The sequence below is a fragment of the Homo sapiens genome, chromosome 7 (assembly GCF_000001405.40).
Source record: "Homo sapiens chromosome 7, GRCh38.p14 Primary Assembly".
NCBI classification, from domain to species: domain Eukaryota; kingdom Metazoa; phylum Chordata; class Mammalia; order Primates; family Hominidae; genus Homo; species Homo sapiens.
The window spans coordinates 80,297,783-80,312,456 of NC_000007.14; the positions used below are offsets into that span (position 1 = coordinate 80,297,783).

The 14,674-nt window shown below is 35.0% G+C and overlaps 1 long non-coding RNA gene across 1 annotated transcript; it reads right to left on the reverse strand.

The window, feature by feature from the left end:
- Positions 1-4,475: 4,475 nt before the first annotated feature.
- Positions 4,476-14,674, reverse strand: LOC107986744 (uncharacterized). Its single transcript, XR_001745026.2, has 3 exons — positions 14,565-14,674; positions 5,090-5,181; positions 4,476-4,699 (listed from the first exon to the last, which is right to left on the reverse strand). It is a non-coding gene; the product is annotated as an uncharacterized LOC107986744 (long non-coding RNA).

A 14,674-nucleotide genomic window follows, 5' to 3' on the forward strand; every position in this document is an offset into this window, starting at 1 on the left:
CCTTGGATTTTCACATCTCCTCGTCTGCAGAATGACTCCCTATAGAAGTAAAATGAATAGTTTCTTTGTTTAGGGAAGAACATTCAGGAAAAAAAAATATGGGAAATATGTAGTATAAATGTAACATAAACCTATTCTAAAAAATAAAACATAAAACTACATGTTTTAAATATAGCTCTCATTTAATTCTTTAATAAGAAATAAAAATCTTTAGTTATTTGAAAAAATTGCTGCCCAGTTATAGAACCAAACACTAGTAGCACAGCTCTAGCCCTTTCCCCATGCCATAAAACAGAATAAATTAGATATATGACTGAAACCAATCTAGTTTAAACAGAACAAATTTTCATTAGGGGGTATTCTGTATTCACTATGGACTGCGATGTTACTTTACTGTTATCAATCATATTATACAGAAATATGAAAACAGTACATCACAAAGATATAAATACAATGTTTATATCAAACCATCTTTCTTCAATGTCTATCCTAATTATCTTTTTAATTTTTCATATTCCCTCTTCATGAAACATTCACTAGAAAATTACATATTACCATTTTCTGCTGGAGAGTTTTATGCATGTTTACATTAGTCACTTAGTCACATCTGTTGCAAAATCTTGGTGAGAAAAAGCTACTTAGGCCTTTGTTATTGTCTGGTGATAATATCATGTTTGAAAGTGTATTGTCTTCTAACAAGACATTTTGGAGGCATAGGAAAGCACATACTGGTTAGTAATTGGATCCAGTCCCCAAGATAGACAAATATGAAAATGTATTACAGGTTTACTGCACCCAAGACTTCATAAGATACTTTCCACAAGTCATAATACACTGCTGTTTTTTTATTGTTACTAGAAGGTAATGGAAAGGACACTGACAAGAAGTCCAAAAGGATGAGTTTAAGATTTAGCTATACCTGCAGTGTTATCTTGAATAAGTTATTTCACTTCTTTGGACATTGGCTGATGTAAATTATCTGAAGAGACTGGAACTGTCATATTCAGTTCTGAAATTAAAATACATTTAATTTAAAAGTCTATTTATCAATTTGTCTTTTAAATTTTTTAACTCTAAATTATTAATTTAACTTTTTTCTTGCAGAAATAAAATTTTTGACAAGTTTCCATTATGTGTCTACCCACCACACCCTGTGTTCAAGATTACTTTTTTTAAACCACTTAATTAAACTGTTTATTTATTTCTCGTCGATTTTGTTTGAATATATCCTGGGGCTGGGATCTTCTGCTGTACCTACTTTGTATGATTTGCAAAGTGCGGTGATAATGTCTCAACTTGATTGGGCTAAGGGATTCCTAGATAGCTGACAAAACATCATTTTGGGATATATCTGTGAGGATGCTTCCAAAAGAGATTAGCATTTATATCAGTAGACTGAATATGGAAGATTGTCCCTACCAACGTGGGTGGGCATCATCCAATCTATTGAGAACTAAAATAGAACAAAATGGTATAGGATAGGTTAATTCATTTTCTCTATTTGAGCTAGGACATTCATGTTCTCCTGCCCTTGGGCATTGGTGCTCCTGGTTTTAGGGCTTTAGGACTCAACCAGGACTTACACCATTAGCATTAGCTACCCTAGTTCTCAGGTAGGGTAGTCCTAGTCTTTTGACTAGGACTGAATTATGCCACCAGTTTCCCTAGTTTTCCAGCTTGTAGGGAGTAGACCATGGGACTTCTCAGCCTCCATAATTGCATAAGACAATCCTTCTAATAAGTATCTATATAAACCTCTCTCTCTCTCCCTTTGTATATACATATTATGTTCAGTTTCTCTGAAGAACTCTAACTAATACAGAATAGTATAAATAGGTCAGATGGACATTTTAAACCTTTCGTGTCACGGTCTTATCTTTCAATACATAGCCATTTTCCTTTTCATCTAAGGCCACGGCCAACTTGGGGAGTGAAAGTTTAGAGATCTCAGTTATTTCTCCAAATCATTTTAGCTATAATAAACAGAGTTAAATGATAGACAATTTGGAGTCTATGGGCACATATTCCAGGTTAGCATATCACTTGTTCTATGTCTTTAAGAGTGGGATAGCCACAGTAAATAGTATCTAATCTACAAATGGTTTAAAGACTGCCCTGGAAACATATGTAGTAGGAGATAATTACTAACTTCACTCAGTTTATCTTGGGTCAGGCTCTGTCACAGGTTGTCTCAAGGAGCTGATCAGAGTGTGTGCATGTCTCGTTCTATTCATGAGCATGTGTGCACGCACACATACCTATACTGGAATATTTGGCTGCATCTGGATCACACAGCATAAAATATTCAATGATAATTACTTGACAACCTGTGGCTATAGTTTTGCATTCTTTGAGGCTTCTCTCAATTTTAATCGCTACTCCCTTTACTCATAAAAGAATGGATATACAAGTTTGGTAAAATTATTTCTCCATAGAGAAAACTCCTTACAGAATATGCCTGTCTGTAAATAATAACTATTTCCTTTGATGTAATTTATTACTGTTAGTATTTGACCTCATGTATACTTTTACTTTCATTATCAATTTTAAATTCTTCATCCAGCAAAATGTAAGTTTCCTCACATCTCCCAATAAAGAACAGGGGAGATTATTATACCATGATGTAGGAAAATTGGGCGTTAAAGATGTAGAGCTCTATACAGTGATGAAGAAAGAGGGCTTTTGTGCTTCCTGCACTACACTGACTCCCAGAAGGTACGTCAATATTCCAAGCTGTTGGAGAGTAAATGCTATCTGCAGGAGAAAGTCACTACCTGGTCATTCTCAGAATATCTTGATATTTGATGATCTCCTCCAGTAGAGCCTCTGATCTCTTCTTCCTGCTGGAAAGAGCCCATGGGTCTTACCTTGCAAGGAGAAGAAGAACTATCTGTATACTACAAAAACTTCTAAAACTTATGTCAAGAAAGAGAAAGGGAAAAGATGCCTTGAAAAGTCCTTGGAGAAGATCAAAGTGCTGTGGACCCTTTGACTCAAAGAAAGTAGCAGAAGTTGCTGTTTCCACAGAGCCTGCACAAATTCTACTATGACTTCCCTGTTGAGAAGAAGCAACAGACCTGTGTGTTCCCGAAGGTAGTCACACTCCAGATCCAATGATAAGCTGACCTGGAGGGTGTCTTTCAGATGGCAGCTGAGATGTTCTTACTTCTGAGAAGCTTTCCCTGTTTCTGGGCTGGGCAGCTCTGGATATCCCAAAAGGATGCCTTGAGTCCCATTCATCCTGAGATCTTTGAGAGCCTAGGTCTAGTAACTATCCACTTATTATGGAAGTATGAAAGAACCTGTGATGCTTATTTTCTTTTAGAAAGCTGACCACCCAGGCAAGGTTAGAACAACTACGGAATAAAAGGAATCCTCAAGAGAATTAAACTCATGCCCACATTCCCATTAGCACTAATTCATCATTGTCCACAGGTAACACTGTGTCGCCAAATGGGGCTTAGTATTTCATGACAGATTCTCTTTTCTTAGAATAGTAGCTTGTAGAAATAATATAGATAGATAGATAGAGTTATAGATAGTTATAGTTTCTTGATTCACCATAGATGTAATGATTCTTTTACTACACTGCTCTAGAAAAAAAAATGTTATGAATAGAGGCAACCCTAATGTTAAGTCACTATGTGGCAGAGAAACACACAGGCAGTGGAGCAGGATGGGTATAGACTGTGTAACTAATTACTAGTTACTCTAAACAATGAGCATGTTTTACCTCTACTTTGAAAGACAAAGTAAAGTTCCTATTACTTTGGACTAGGAGGAAAATATTTTGGGTAAGACAGACTGGGCAGCAATGACAGTAGAAAATATTTATAATTCCTATTCCCTTATTACTGGTCTTGTTTTCTTTCTTTCAATTTTTTTCTCTCTTGCCTGCCTGTAATACAGTGTGAACATAAGGTCTCAGCTTCCCTGTCATTCCTGAAGAAAAAGTTTGAATAATCTCCAAGGTGTTAGGGACTCAATATATTTAAATAAGTACCTCCCCTCCCTTTCAGAAATAGTTACATCAGAAAATTCATAAAATAACCGAAAAGAGCCATGCTTTACACAAAGGCAAGGGATGGCATTATTGGTATTTGTCAAATTACATTATATAAAAATTTGATATTTTAAGAATAAAAACCGTGATACATCGTTGTATATACACTTTAATTTTAATATTATAACAAACTGCACGTAGGCAAATGGGAAAACAAAGAGAAGAAAAAAAATCTTTTTGTCAACAAAAAGAGCAGGGCTATATCTTTTCCTTTTAAACTTTCCTTTTAGATATTTTTAAAATAATTTGTTCCTTGTACACACACCTATACACACATGTACATTTTATCTGATACAGCCTAAAAAACAAAAAAAAATCAAGGTATCCTGGCAGAGAAGGTTAAGGGAAAGGTGAAAACTAGACTTCTGAGGGATGTTGTTTTCTTTTCTCATTCTTATTCCAATCTGCATTGCATCAACAGCTCCCTGTTGCTTTTAGTGGCCCGGAGTATCTTAACCTTTGTTGTAAGGATTTGTTAAGCAAGATGCCTGATACATTCTACCTAGCAGAACTGTTGCTTATACAATACAAATTTTGACATCTGTACTCTTTCGTTATTTAATTAATTCTCTTCTACTTACAAACTCACAAATCGACGGAGGACTTCGGTGAGGATTCCATTAATCTAACACAGTGCTGGAAAAGCCAAAACAGTAATTCAACTGTCCACTTTGAAAAAAATGTGTGATTTATAGATATTCTCATATCATAACATTTCCTGTCAAAGAGAATCATAGCTAATGGGTACAGGAAGATTATAAAATATTTTGATTCAAAGAATACTACAAATGGCTGTCAAAACTTCTTATTTCTCATTCAAGTAAGTCTGTGGAATGGAATATTTCTGACTACTTCTTTTATACATAGGATCCAGAATAATAACAAATGTTTACAATATGCTATGTTTAGGTCAATTACTGTTCTTAGCGCTTTATACATACTGACTCATCTAAACCTCACAACACACCATAAGGTATACAAGATTATTTTCAATATGGGGAAACAGAAACAGGAATGTTAACTTACTTGGCCAAGGTCACACAACTGGGCAGTAGCTAGAACTCAGACTCAAGTTGTGCTTGTAAAACTGCGCTCAGAATCTGCAGTTCATTTCACATCTATGAAAAAAATAAATAAATTAAGTACAATAGCTAACATCTATTGAGCACTCCCTCTGTGCCAGGTGTTAGCGAAGCACTTTGCCTGCAGTATCTCATTTAATCCTTGCAACAGTCCTCTGTGGTATAATTAGCTCTGTTTTAAAGATAAAGAAACTAAAGATCAAAAAATTACTTGTCCAATTTATAGAGCTAGTAAAAGGGAGACAGGATTCAGGTCAACTCCAGGGCTCATACCCCTTTACCACTACTCTTCCTGTTTAATGGTTTAGTCAATTATCAACATTTAATGAACACTTATGAGGTTCAGAGACTGACAAGCATCTATTTCACCCTTGGGATATGTTATTGTCTGAAGAATGTAGTTTGATAGCGTGAAGAATGGAGTCCAGGCAACAGCATTAGATAAGACTATTTAAAGTTCAAGAAATTTGAATATCAGATGATTACTGTTTGCAATGTACTCTGAAATGGCTGAGGATTTAAATCCTGCTCTCTGTGCCAAAGCATTCTTGGATGTATTCATAACATTTGAGTGATTTGCCAAGACATGCCAAGCTTATTTAAATAACTATTCCTGTCTTTATTGATTGACAGGGTTGATGTGATTTCTTTCAGTGATTATACTTTTGGGCAAGATGGCATCAGGCTAACTAGACACAGTATGATTTACTTGTGAACTTTGTTCAACATTGGTATTCTTGATATATTCTTCGTAGAAAGAGAAAATGCTAACAACAAGAGTGAACAAATTAAAAACTGATTCGTATGAGTGTAATTAATTTAAAAATTAGAATAAAAAAGAATTAGATTGAGAACTAGTTGTCACAACTTTTCCACAAAACCAGCTGGGTGATCTGATGTCTTCTAGGACCCAGAAACATTACATATAAAATGATGAGGTTGATGATCTCGAGAAGATGTTTCCATTTCTAAAATTTAAGTACTAATACTTCTTATAAGAGGTAGTCTAGTTCAAGATCTTCCTGACAAGGGTTGGTAACAGTGGTAAAAGAATGGATAGATTATGGGGGAGGTAAGGTGGGGAGGTGGTAGTAGTTTGTGGATGCAGACATATAATGAAAAAGTAATTTACAAAGTAGACAAGGTCATCATAATATTTTATAGTTTAGTGATGCCAATATTTGTACTATATTCTATAAATATCAGAGTATTACCTACTATTAGAAGTTTCATAAATTGCAAGAAATTAAAATGCTTGTGAGGATAAATCACTATTGATTTCTACCATGCGTAAAACATTAGCATATGAATAGTTACATAGAGTGGTATCCAATTCTTTGTTTGCTTTTTAAGTATAAAACAGAGCAAACCGTTCTTATTTTGCAACAGGAATGGATTAATATCTATCTATCTTTCTATCTATCTATCTTCTAGACAGGCTCCAGATACTGTAATTAATAATCTAGAGTTAATAACCTAGAAATCTTGCAGCATCTCCCATCCAAAGATCTTACAAAGTCTGACTTAGCAGCATTCATATCAGGAGGTGGGTGAATGTCTTCAGATGTCCTTTGCTGCTGTTTAAGTTATTTTCAACTTTATTACATTTTTTTTTTTTTTTTGAGATGGAGTCTCGCTCTGTCTCCCAGGCTGGAGTACAGTGGCCTGATCTTGGCCCACCGCAACCTCTGCCTCCTGGGTTCAAGCAATTCTCCTGTCTCAGTCTCCCGAGTAGCTGGGACTACAGGTGCACACCACCACACCTGGCTAATTTTTGTATTTTTAGTATAGATGGGGTTTCACCATATTGGTCACCCTGGTCTCGAACTCCTGACCTCATGTGATCCACCCACCTGGGCCTCCCACGGTGCTGGGATTACAGTTGTGAACCACTAACTTTATTAAATTTCTAAACTTTGTCATACCTAGTAGTGTTGATGTACTCATTTTAATTTTAGTTCACTTTACCAAGAACAAAAAGACATTGAAATAATTTCTCTCAATTTCTAATTTAAACAAATTAGAAATTAAAATAAATTATTGTAAAGCCATATTACTGCCTGGAACTGTAGACATTTATTGGTTTTCAAATGTTCTGCCTAAATTGAAACTATTACTGTTAAATAGATTCATTTGCTAGTTTTGTGCCATGGACAAGCCAATAATTTGAGATGTCTGGTGTTCTTATTTCATTTGAACCCTATCTTTAGCAGGCTCTCTTCCTTAAATCAGAAATCCCAATTCTCTTTTATTTTCTTTTCAACAAACAAGTAAAATTAATTCCAAATGGGCAGGGATAAGAAGAGACAGGTGGCATCATATAAAGAAGCAGAAACTGAATGTAATTAACTAAAGTTGTATTTCTAAACCAGCAAGTCTACTTTTAATTATCTTTCATATATTTTCTTGCAGTATTTATTTGTTTATTCATTCAGAATATATATCATCGAACATTGCCTCAAAGCTAGGCAGTGCTAGGTAATAGGTATACCTTAGTGATGAAATAGATCACTTCTTTCTGGAGTTTACATACTAGAGGGAAGAACAAACGTGAACAAGTAAAAAGATAGTGGTCTTTTAACTGATACATACGACATGTAAATCAACTAGCCTCTGCATTCAGCTCTTCACTTTTGCATTTCTGTGTCCCTCCTAATCATCCCCTAGGCTGCTTCACAGTCAGCAAAGGGCTTGCTCCAGGTGATCCAGATAGCTTTCTGAGTTTACCCTATTGTTAAATCATCCTATGAGTAAAGAACCCTAGAAAAAGAGACGTAATAGGTGTCTCTCCCTCAAAAGTCGTGGTGGCTCCAGAAAAACAAAAAAATAACAGAAAATCTATAGTGGCTCTTCTATTCTTGGTGAATTTATTAACTAGGATTAGACAATGCTTGATCAAGGGTGAGCTGTTGGAGGCAGGGATTTAGTGGCATTTATTCAACCAGATCTGGACAGACTAGGTGAGGTCTGTCCATGGGGCTGGTAGAATCAAAACAAGATGGCCACCAGGAATCAGTGTTACAGCCAAGAGTTAAGCAACTGAGTCAAATTTAGGAGAGAAGATGAAGACAGGAACTGAAGTTAGCAACTCAAGTCAGCTGAAATGGGCAGAGAAGCCAAGTTCCAATGGGTCTCAGGAGTATCTCTAAGAATTCAATCTCTGTGTCAGGATTCTTCCATTCTAGTCCACGTACACACATGACACTAGACCTGTAATCAGGACTGATCAAAGTCACTTTCTGACGTGTAGACATCATTGAATAACGGAAAAAACAGCTAATTAAAAAGAGCAAAAACAAAACCTAACTCCAAATTGTGGCTCCAATATTAATGTCACAATAGAAAGGTTAATTAGTATCTCTGAAAATCAGTTCTTTTCATCAGCAAAATGGGGATAACACCACCTCCTTGAAGAGACCTTTATTTGATGATTAAGTTAGATCTGTACAGTAAAGAGCCTCCCCAAATATACCATATACATTTAAAATTGACTATTAATGTGACATTATTTCAATTAAGAGTACTCAGATAATAATTCTTTCAGAAGACAGATTTTCTCCCATATTTGATTTACATAATGCCTAGACACTTTTAGACTCTTGAGATTCCTATTAAAAATTCTAGTTATATCAGAGATTTTTCTCAAACACTGAAAAGCCTGAGAGAGCTTAGAAGAAGAGTATGCTTGGGACTCAATGTGGGATTAATAGTAAGACTCACAGCTGTGAAAAAGATGAACTTGAAGTTCTATGTGGCCCACTGGTAGAGAGTCTGATCGGTGCATTTCTGTGACCTCTGAAGACTGGAGCAATCAGGGTACTATTGTGGTGGATCAGAGGAAAGGGTGTGGTGGATCTCACAGAACAGTAACTGACTGCAGGCATAGAAAGGAGACAAAGGGGCTGGGCACAGTGGCTCACACCTGTAATCCCAGCACTTTGGGAGGCCGAGGCGGGCAGATCACAAGGTCAGGAGATCAAGACCATCCTGGCTAACACGGTGAAACCCCGTCTCTACTAAAAAAATACAAAAAATTAGCCGGGCATGGTGGCACCCGACTGTAGTCTCAGCTACTCAGGAGGCTGAAGCAGGAGAATCTCTTGAACCTGGGAGGCGGAGGTTGCAGTGAGCCAAGATCACACCACTGCACTCCAGCCTGGGTGACAGAGCGAGACTGTGTCTTAAAAAAAAAAAAAAAAAAAAAAATAGAAAGGGGACAAAGGGGACTAGACATACAGGTACATGACCCAAGCTCTCATAATGACCTTGCCACTCTCCTGACGTGGTCCTGTGGACAAGTTTAATGAATTTTGCTTCATTTGTGAAATGACAGGCTGAGACCTGGCGGTCTCTAACATTTCTTCTGGTTATAATAGTGGATGATTCTGTAAGTTAATCATACTCTGCATTTGTACGGCATTTTTCACTTTCCAAAGCATGCTGACATACATCACTCACTGATCCTGTGAGGCAGGCATGGCATGTGTTTTTACCCCTATTTTATAAATGAGGAAGTACAGATTTAGAGGTTGTGTCCTCTATAAAATTTCATTGTTCAACCTGTGTCAAGGATCTAGATTCAGAAACATTTAGTTGATTTTTGAAAATATATCAGAGTTGGGTGTGTTTCCCTTTAAAAGTTCTTGGCAATTACAAATTATTTTGAACTATCATGTGAGGTAGTGGCTGCTATGGAAACTGCATTAATACATGAAGCTTGCAAAGCCTGTCACCACATCAGATGTTGCTGCCCTTTGGCTATGCTAACTTACTCATCTGTTTTTTTGAAAAATATTTCTCTCTTTCTTCTTTTTCTTTTTTTCCCCAAGCACAAGCACACTATGTTTATAATCCAAGACATCTCATTTTGAACAGACTCATCCTTATGAAATTCATTAAATGACTTGGAACAAAAGATTCTAGTGAAAATATGACCTGGGAAAATAATAAATTAAAACATATATGCATAGTGTTCATTTCGTATTTCTGTGGCTCAAACAAAATGTGAAAAGAAGCTAAAAAAGAAAAACTAAATTCATGAGGTAGGATTATGTTTATATGATAATTGCAAAGAAAAATAATGCATGAGTTCAAGTATAATAATTTTATTCTAATAATAAAGATATTTACTATGTCAGTTTTGACCAACACTATACATTTAACCTTTGCATTATTTTGTGAAATATTAGCACTCATAGGCATTAATGAATCTTAAAAAAGCAGTCATTACTTTTAGATTTATCAATTATCTATTTTATACGTGTATATATAAATATATAATATGTATATATGTGTGTATATATACATATATGTGTATGTATATATATATATATAAAATGTACATAGTATCTGTAAATAGTTGCCACCTATATTCCAAAGTTTCATATTTCATATTTTGAATACAGGGTCTCTGTGTCCCAAATGGGACTCAACTGTCTTGAAATTGCCCTTGTTCCATCCAAAGAAATAGTGGAGATTTAGATTCAATAATTATATAAACCAGAAGTACTTACTTCCTCCTGTTTTCACTATTCTTTGGCAAATACATAAAACCTAATTTTTTTGCCAGATATCTTACTTACCACCTTGTGAGGACTATATATTTGAAATGGCAACAGTCTATATATTTTTCTTGCTGCCAATTTATAGGTTATTATGACCTGCTGGTATTCCTTTATTTGAATTTAACTAATTAATCACAAGTGGGATTTTTTCCATATGCTCATTAGTTATTTATATAACTTCCATAAAATATTTATTCATAAATTTGGTCATTTTGCTTAATGATTTATATTACTTATATGTAAAAGGAAATAAACTTTTAAATAGTGTAGAAAGTATTAATGGGTTTGATATATGAAAATTTTAAATTTTTATGTAGTAGGCAAATCTATCATCTTCATGATGTATTACAATGATCTTATGCTTAGAAAGTCTCCCAACTGCATACAGTACATATTCATATGCATTTCATAGTTTCAGTTGTTACTTTAAACTTTCCATCAAGTTTCTATATATTTTGAATGTAACACAAACTGATAATTGGGCTTTTTTCAAAATAAATAATTTTCCAAACACAACGTTAGAAATAATACATCCTTTCCTATGGATTTATGATATTTTAAATCTTATATTAAGATTCTAACATTGGTTCCAGAGCTATCCCTTATCTTTCCCTAGATTCTTAAGCCACCACCACATTGTGTTAATTTTATAATGTTAAAATAAATGTTGATTATCTGATAACATAATTCACTTTTGAACATGATTTGCAATTCTCATTTGTTTAATTTTCCAGGTAAATCTAATAAGTCCTTACTCCCAATCAAAATTCTCAACGCTCTTTCTTTTCTGTTTCATTTCATTTGATTTATTTACTCTGCCTTTGTCTTAGGCCATTCTTGTATTTTTATAAAGAAATACCTGAGACTGGGTAACTTATAAGAAAAGAGGTTTAATTGGTTCACAGTTCTGCAGGCTGTACAGGAAGCATAGCGGCATCTGCTTCTGGGGTGGCCTCAGGGAGCTTTTACTCATGGCAGAAGGTGAAGCGGGGTCAAGCACATGTAGGATGAGAACAGAGCAAAAAAGAGAGGGGGAATGTACCACACACTTTTAAGCGACCACATCTTGTGAGAACTCACTCACTCTCACTAGGACAGTACCAAGAAGAAGGTGTTAAACTATTTCATGAGAAATCTGTTCCTATGATTCAGTCACCTCCTACCAGGCCTCACCTCCAACATTGGGGTGAAAACATGAGATCTGGGTGGGACAAATATACAAACTGTATCAGTCTTGTAGTTAATGTTTATCTTAAGCTTCAAAGAAGTCATTGTTTTATCAAAAATATTGAGTATTGAGAGCAGAACTTACAGATTTTTTTTTTTTTTTCGCACAGGGCACTGTGAATGAATAAAAGTTAACTTAATCTCTTTATTTGGAAGACACTGGGGAAGTCACTCTTGAATAGATGCAAGTTTGGACATTGAATACAGAATTTTTTTAAAGCAGGGTGGTGATAGTGGTAGCAATAAAGAATCGATAACTCATGCAGAGACAACATAAGATGTTTAACTGAAAAGTTAATTTACATTAGTAAACTGCAGTAATCTCAGCCTCAAGAATAAACAATTTATTTACCTTGGGAAATTTGCTTTGAATATGAAAAAGTAATGTAGGAACATTTCTCAAAAAGCATTCTACCCTAGAATGTTCTCTGCCAAACCACTTCCTACCCCGCCCCCACGAAATCACACTCACATCGTAGAAAAGATTTGCGCTGGTTAAAGTTACTAGCAAATTCCAGTAACTACTGTGCTTCATTTTCTTATTCACAGATTTAAACAGAGTTATAAGAATTACAAGACCAATGTAATTATGGTTTAAGAGATTAAATGGAGGAAGGAAGTTGTCATTTCAAGAAAGGACCTGTATATGAGATAGTGAAATATCACAGATAAGCTAAGATTTGAAAGCCCAGTTCCCTTATGTACTGGTGGTTTCATGATGGACAATTGCTTAATCAAGCTAATTTTGGTTTTCTCATTTGTAAAATTGATAGTAATAATGTTTTGTAAGGAATGTAAAAAAGACTAAAGGAAATAATGGAATGATTTACAAAGTAGGAATGATGCTTAAAATGTAGTAGTAATAAATGTTAATAATTATTATGTAGTATGATTACTGGGCAAGTTTTAAGAATGAAAACTCTCCCTAACACTTGGAAGTAAGCAAACTACCATTGTCCAATGTAAAAATTACAGAAGAGCTCCCAGACACTAAAGGGAAGATATAACTATAATCAGGACAGAGACAAACCTAGCTGCTCCTTCTAAGAACTCTATTCATATACTTATAGACAGACCACCATTAAAACACCAAGAGTCCTGTAAAGGAGTCTTATAAATGGTCCTCCACTATCTGGACCTTTGACTAAATTAAACTGTTTCAACAGTGGCAATGTGGCTGATTATTTTTGAAACAAAAGGCCCTGAAAATAATAGCAACCAAAGGAGTACATATGAAAGATCATTAATTGTATTGAAGGAAGCCAAGGAGAATTATACATAAGTGATGATTTTAGATGTACAGCCAAGAAGATTAAGGCTTAAAGAAAAATTAAGAAGAAAAAGTAATTCAACTGCCAACAAAAATATCTTCAGTTAATTTGAAGAAATATGTTTTCCACACTGGGAATGTCTAAAAGCTACATTATTTAAAAATTATTCAAAAAATGTGTCACAAGTCCCATAGCTCAGCATGTATTATGGACTATGAAAGAAACAAAAAGATCTGAAAGTAATAACCAATCAGATGATTAGGAGAGATAAGTGGAAAAATTAAAACATATTTTAAAACCCAAGAAAGAAGCTAGCTCTGATAATCTGATTAAAACCCAGAAGAAAAACACTGCTGTGGCCATTTATCCCTAGTGACACGGCAGAAGTAGATGGAATAATTTCTGAACAGATTGTTAGCAAAAAGTCCACTCAGAAGATATATATTGTGCTACAGAGTTTTCAGATAAGTTATCAAGACTCAGAAGGGAAATTTATAACTCTACTAAGAGAATCAGATAATTATCAGAGTAAGACAACATCCTGAAAGAGATAAGAGGTGGAAAATATATACGAGTCTATGTTCCTTAGTTCTAAATTTACTCTAGTAGGTAACAATTACTGTTGAAAAGAGTACAGTACATTGAAAAATGTACATATATGGGGAACTTCATTTTCTGTAGAACTGACAACTCTATTCTAAAAGATGACTAGTAATTTTAAAAAGCACTTTAAAAAATTTAAGGCAATTTTAGGTTAAAATTAAGGAAATAATTTTCCATAAAATGTGAACAGTAAATTCCTGGACAGGACACCTCATCAGATGATCTTTCACGAATCTGTGAACTCCTTTGAGGTCCAAGGGAGTTATTGAGATTGGCTTTGTGGCATTTCCATTCAAACACATTTTATTGCAGAATAAGATGCTGAGAAGCACAGCTTAAAGAAAAAAAATAAGAAAAAAGAAAAATAGTGCATTCATTCATTCATTTTATCACTCACTTAGTAGACACTTATTGAGTGCTACTATATGCCAGTCAGTGTGATCTAGGTGCTGGTGATAAAATAATTAATTACACTGTCAACATCCCCTCACATTTTTACATCATAACAGTCACAAAACATGTGACAGCATACAAATTAAGTTATAATATTATGGAATAATAGGTGCTATGAAAATATATAGTGTTGTTACCCACAACGTCAAACAATACTCAGGAGGTACAGAGTATTTCAGAAAAAGCAGGCCAATGTAAACAATCCCCGTGAATGTTGATTCAATTCCTATGGTAACTCGGCAGCACTTCCTGAGCAGTCCGTGCTGCAGATTCTGTGGTGTTCTGCCCAGGGCTGACTTACCCATCTCCAAGCTGTTGCGGAAATAGGCTTCTGACATTTCATAGTGTGCCTCACTCAAGGTTATGCCCTCTGCCAGCAAGCATAATGAATGGCTGATGGGGAATAAATAC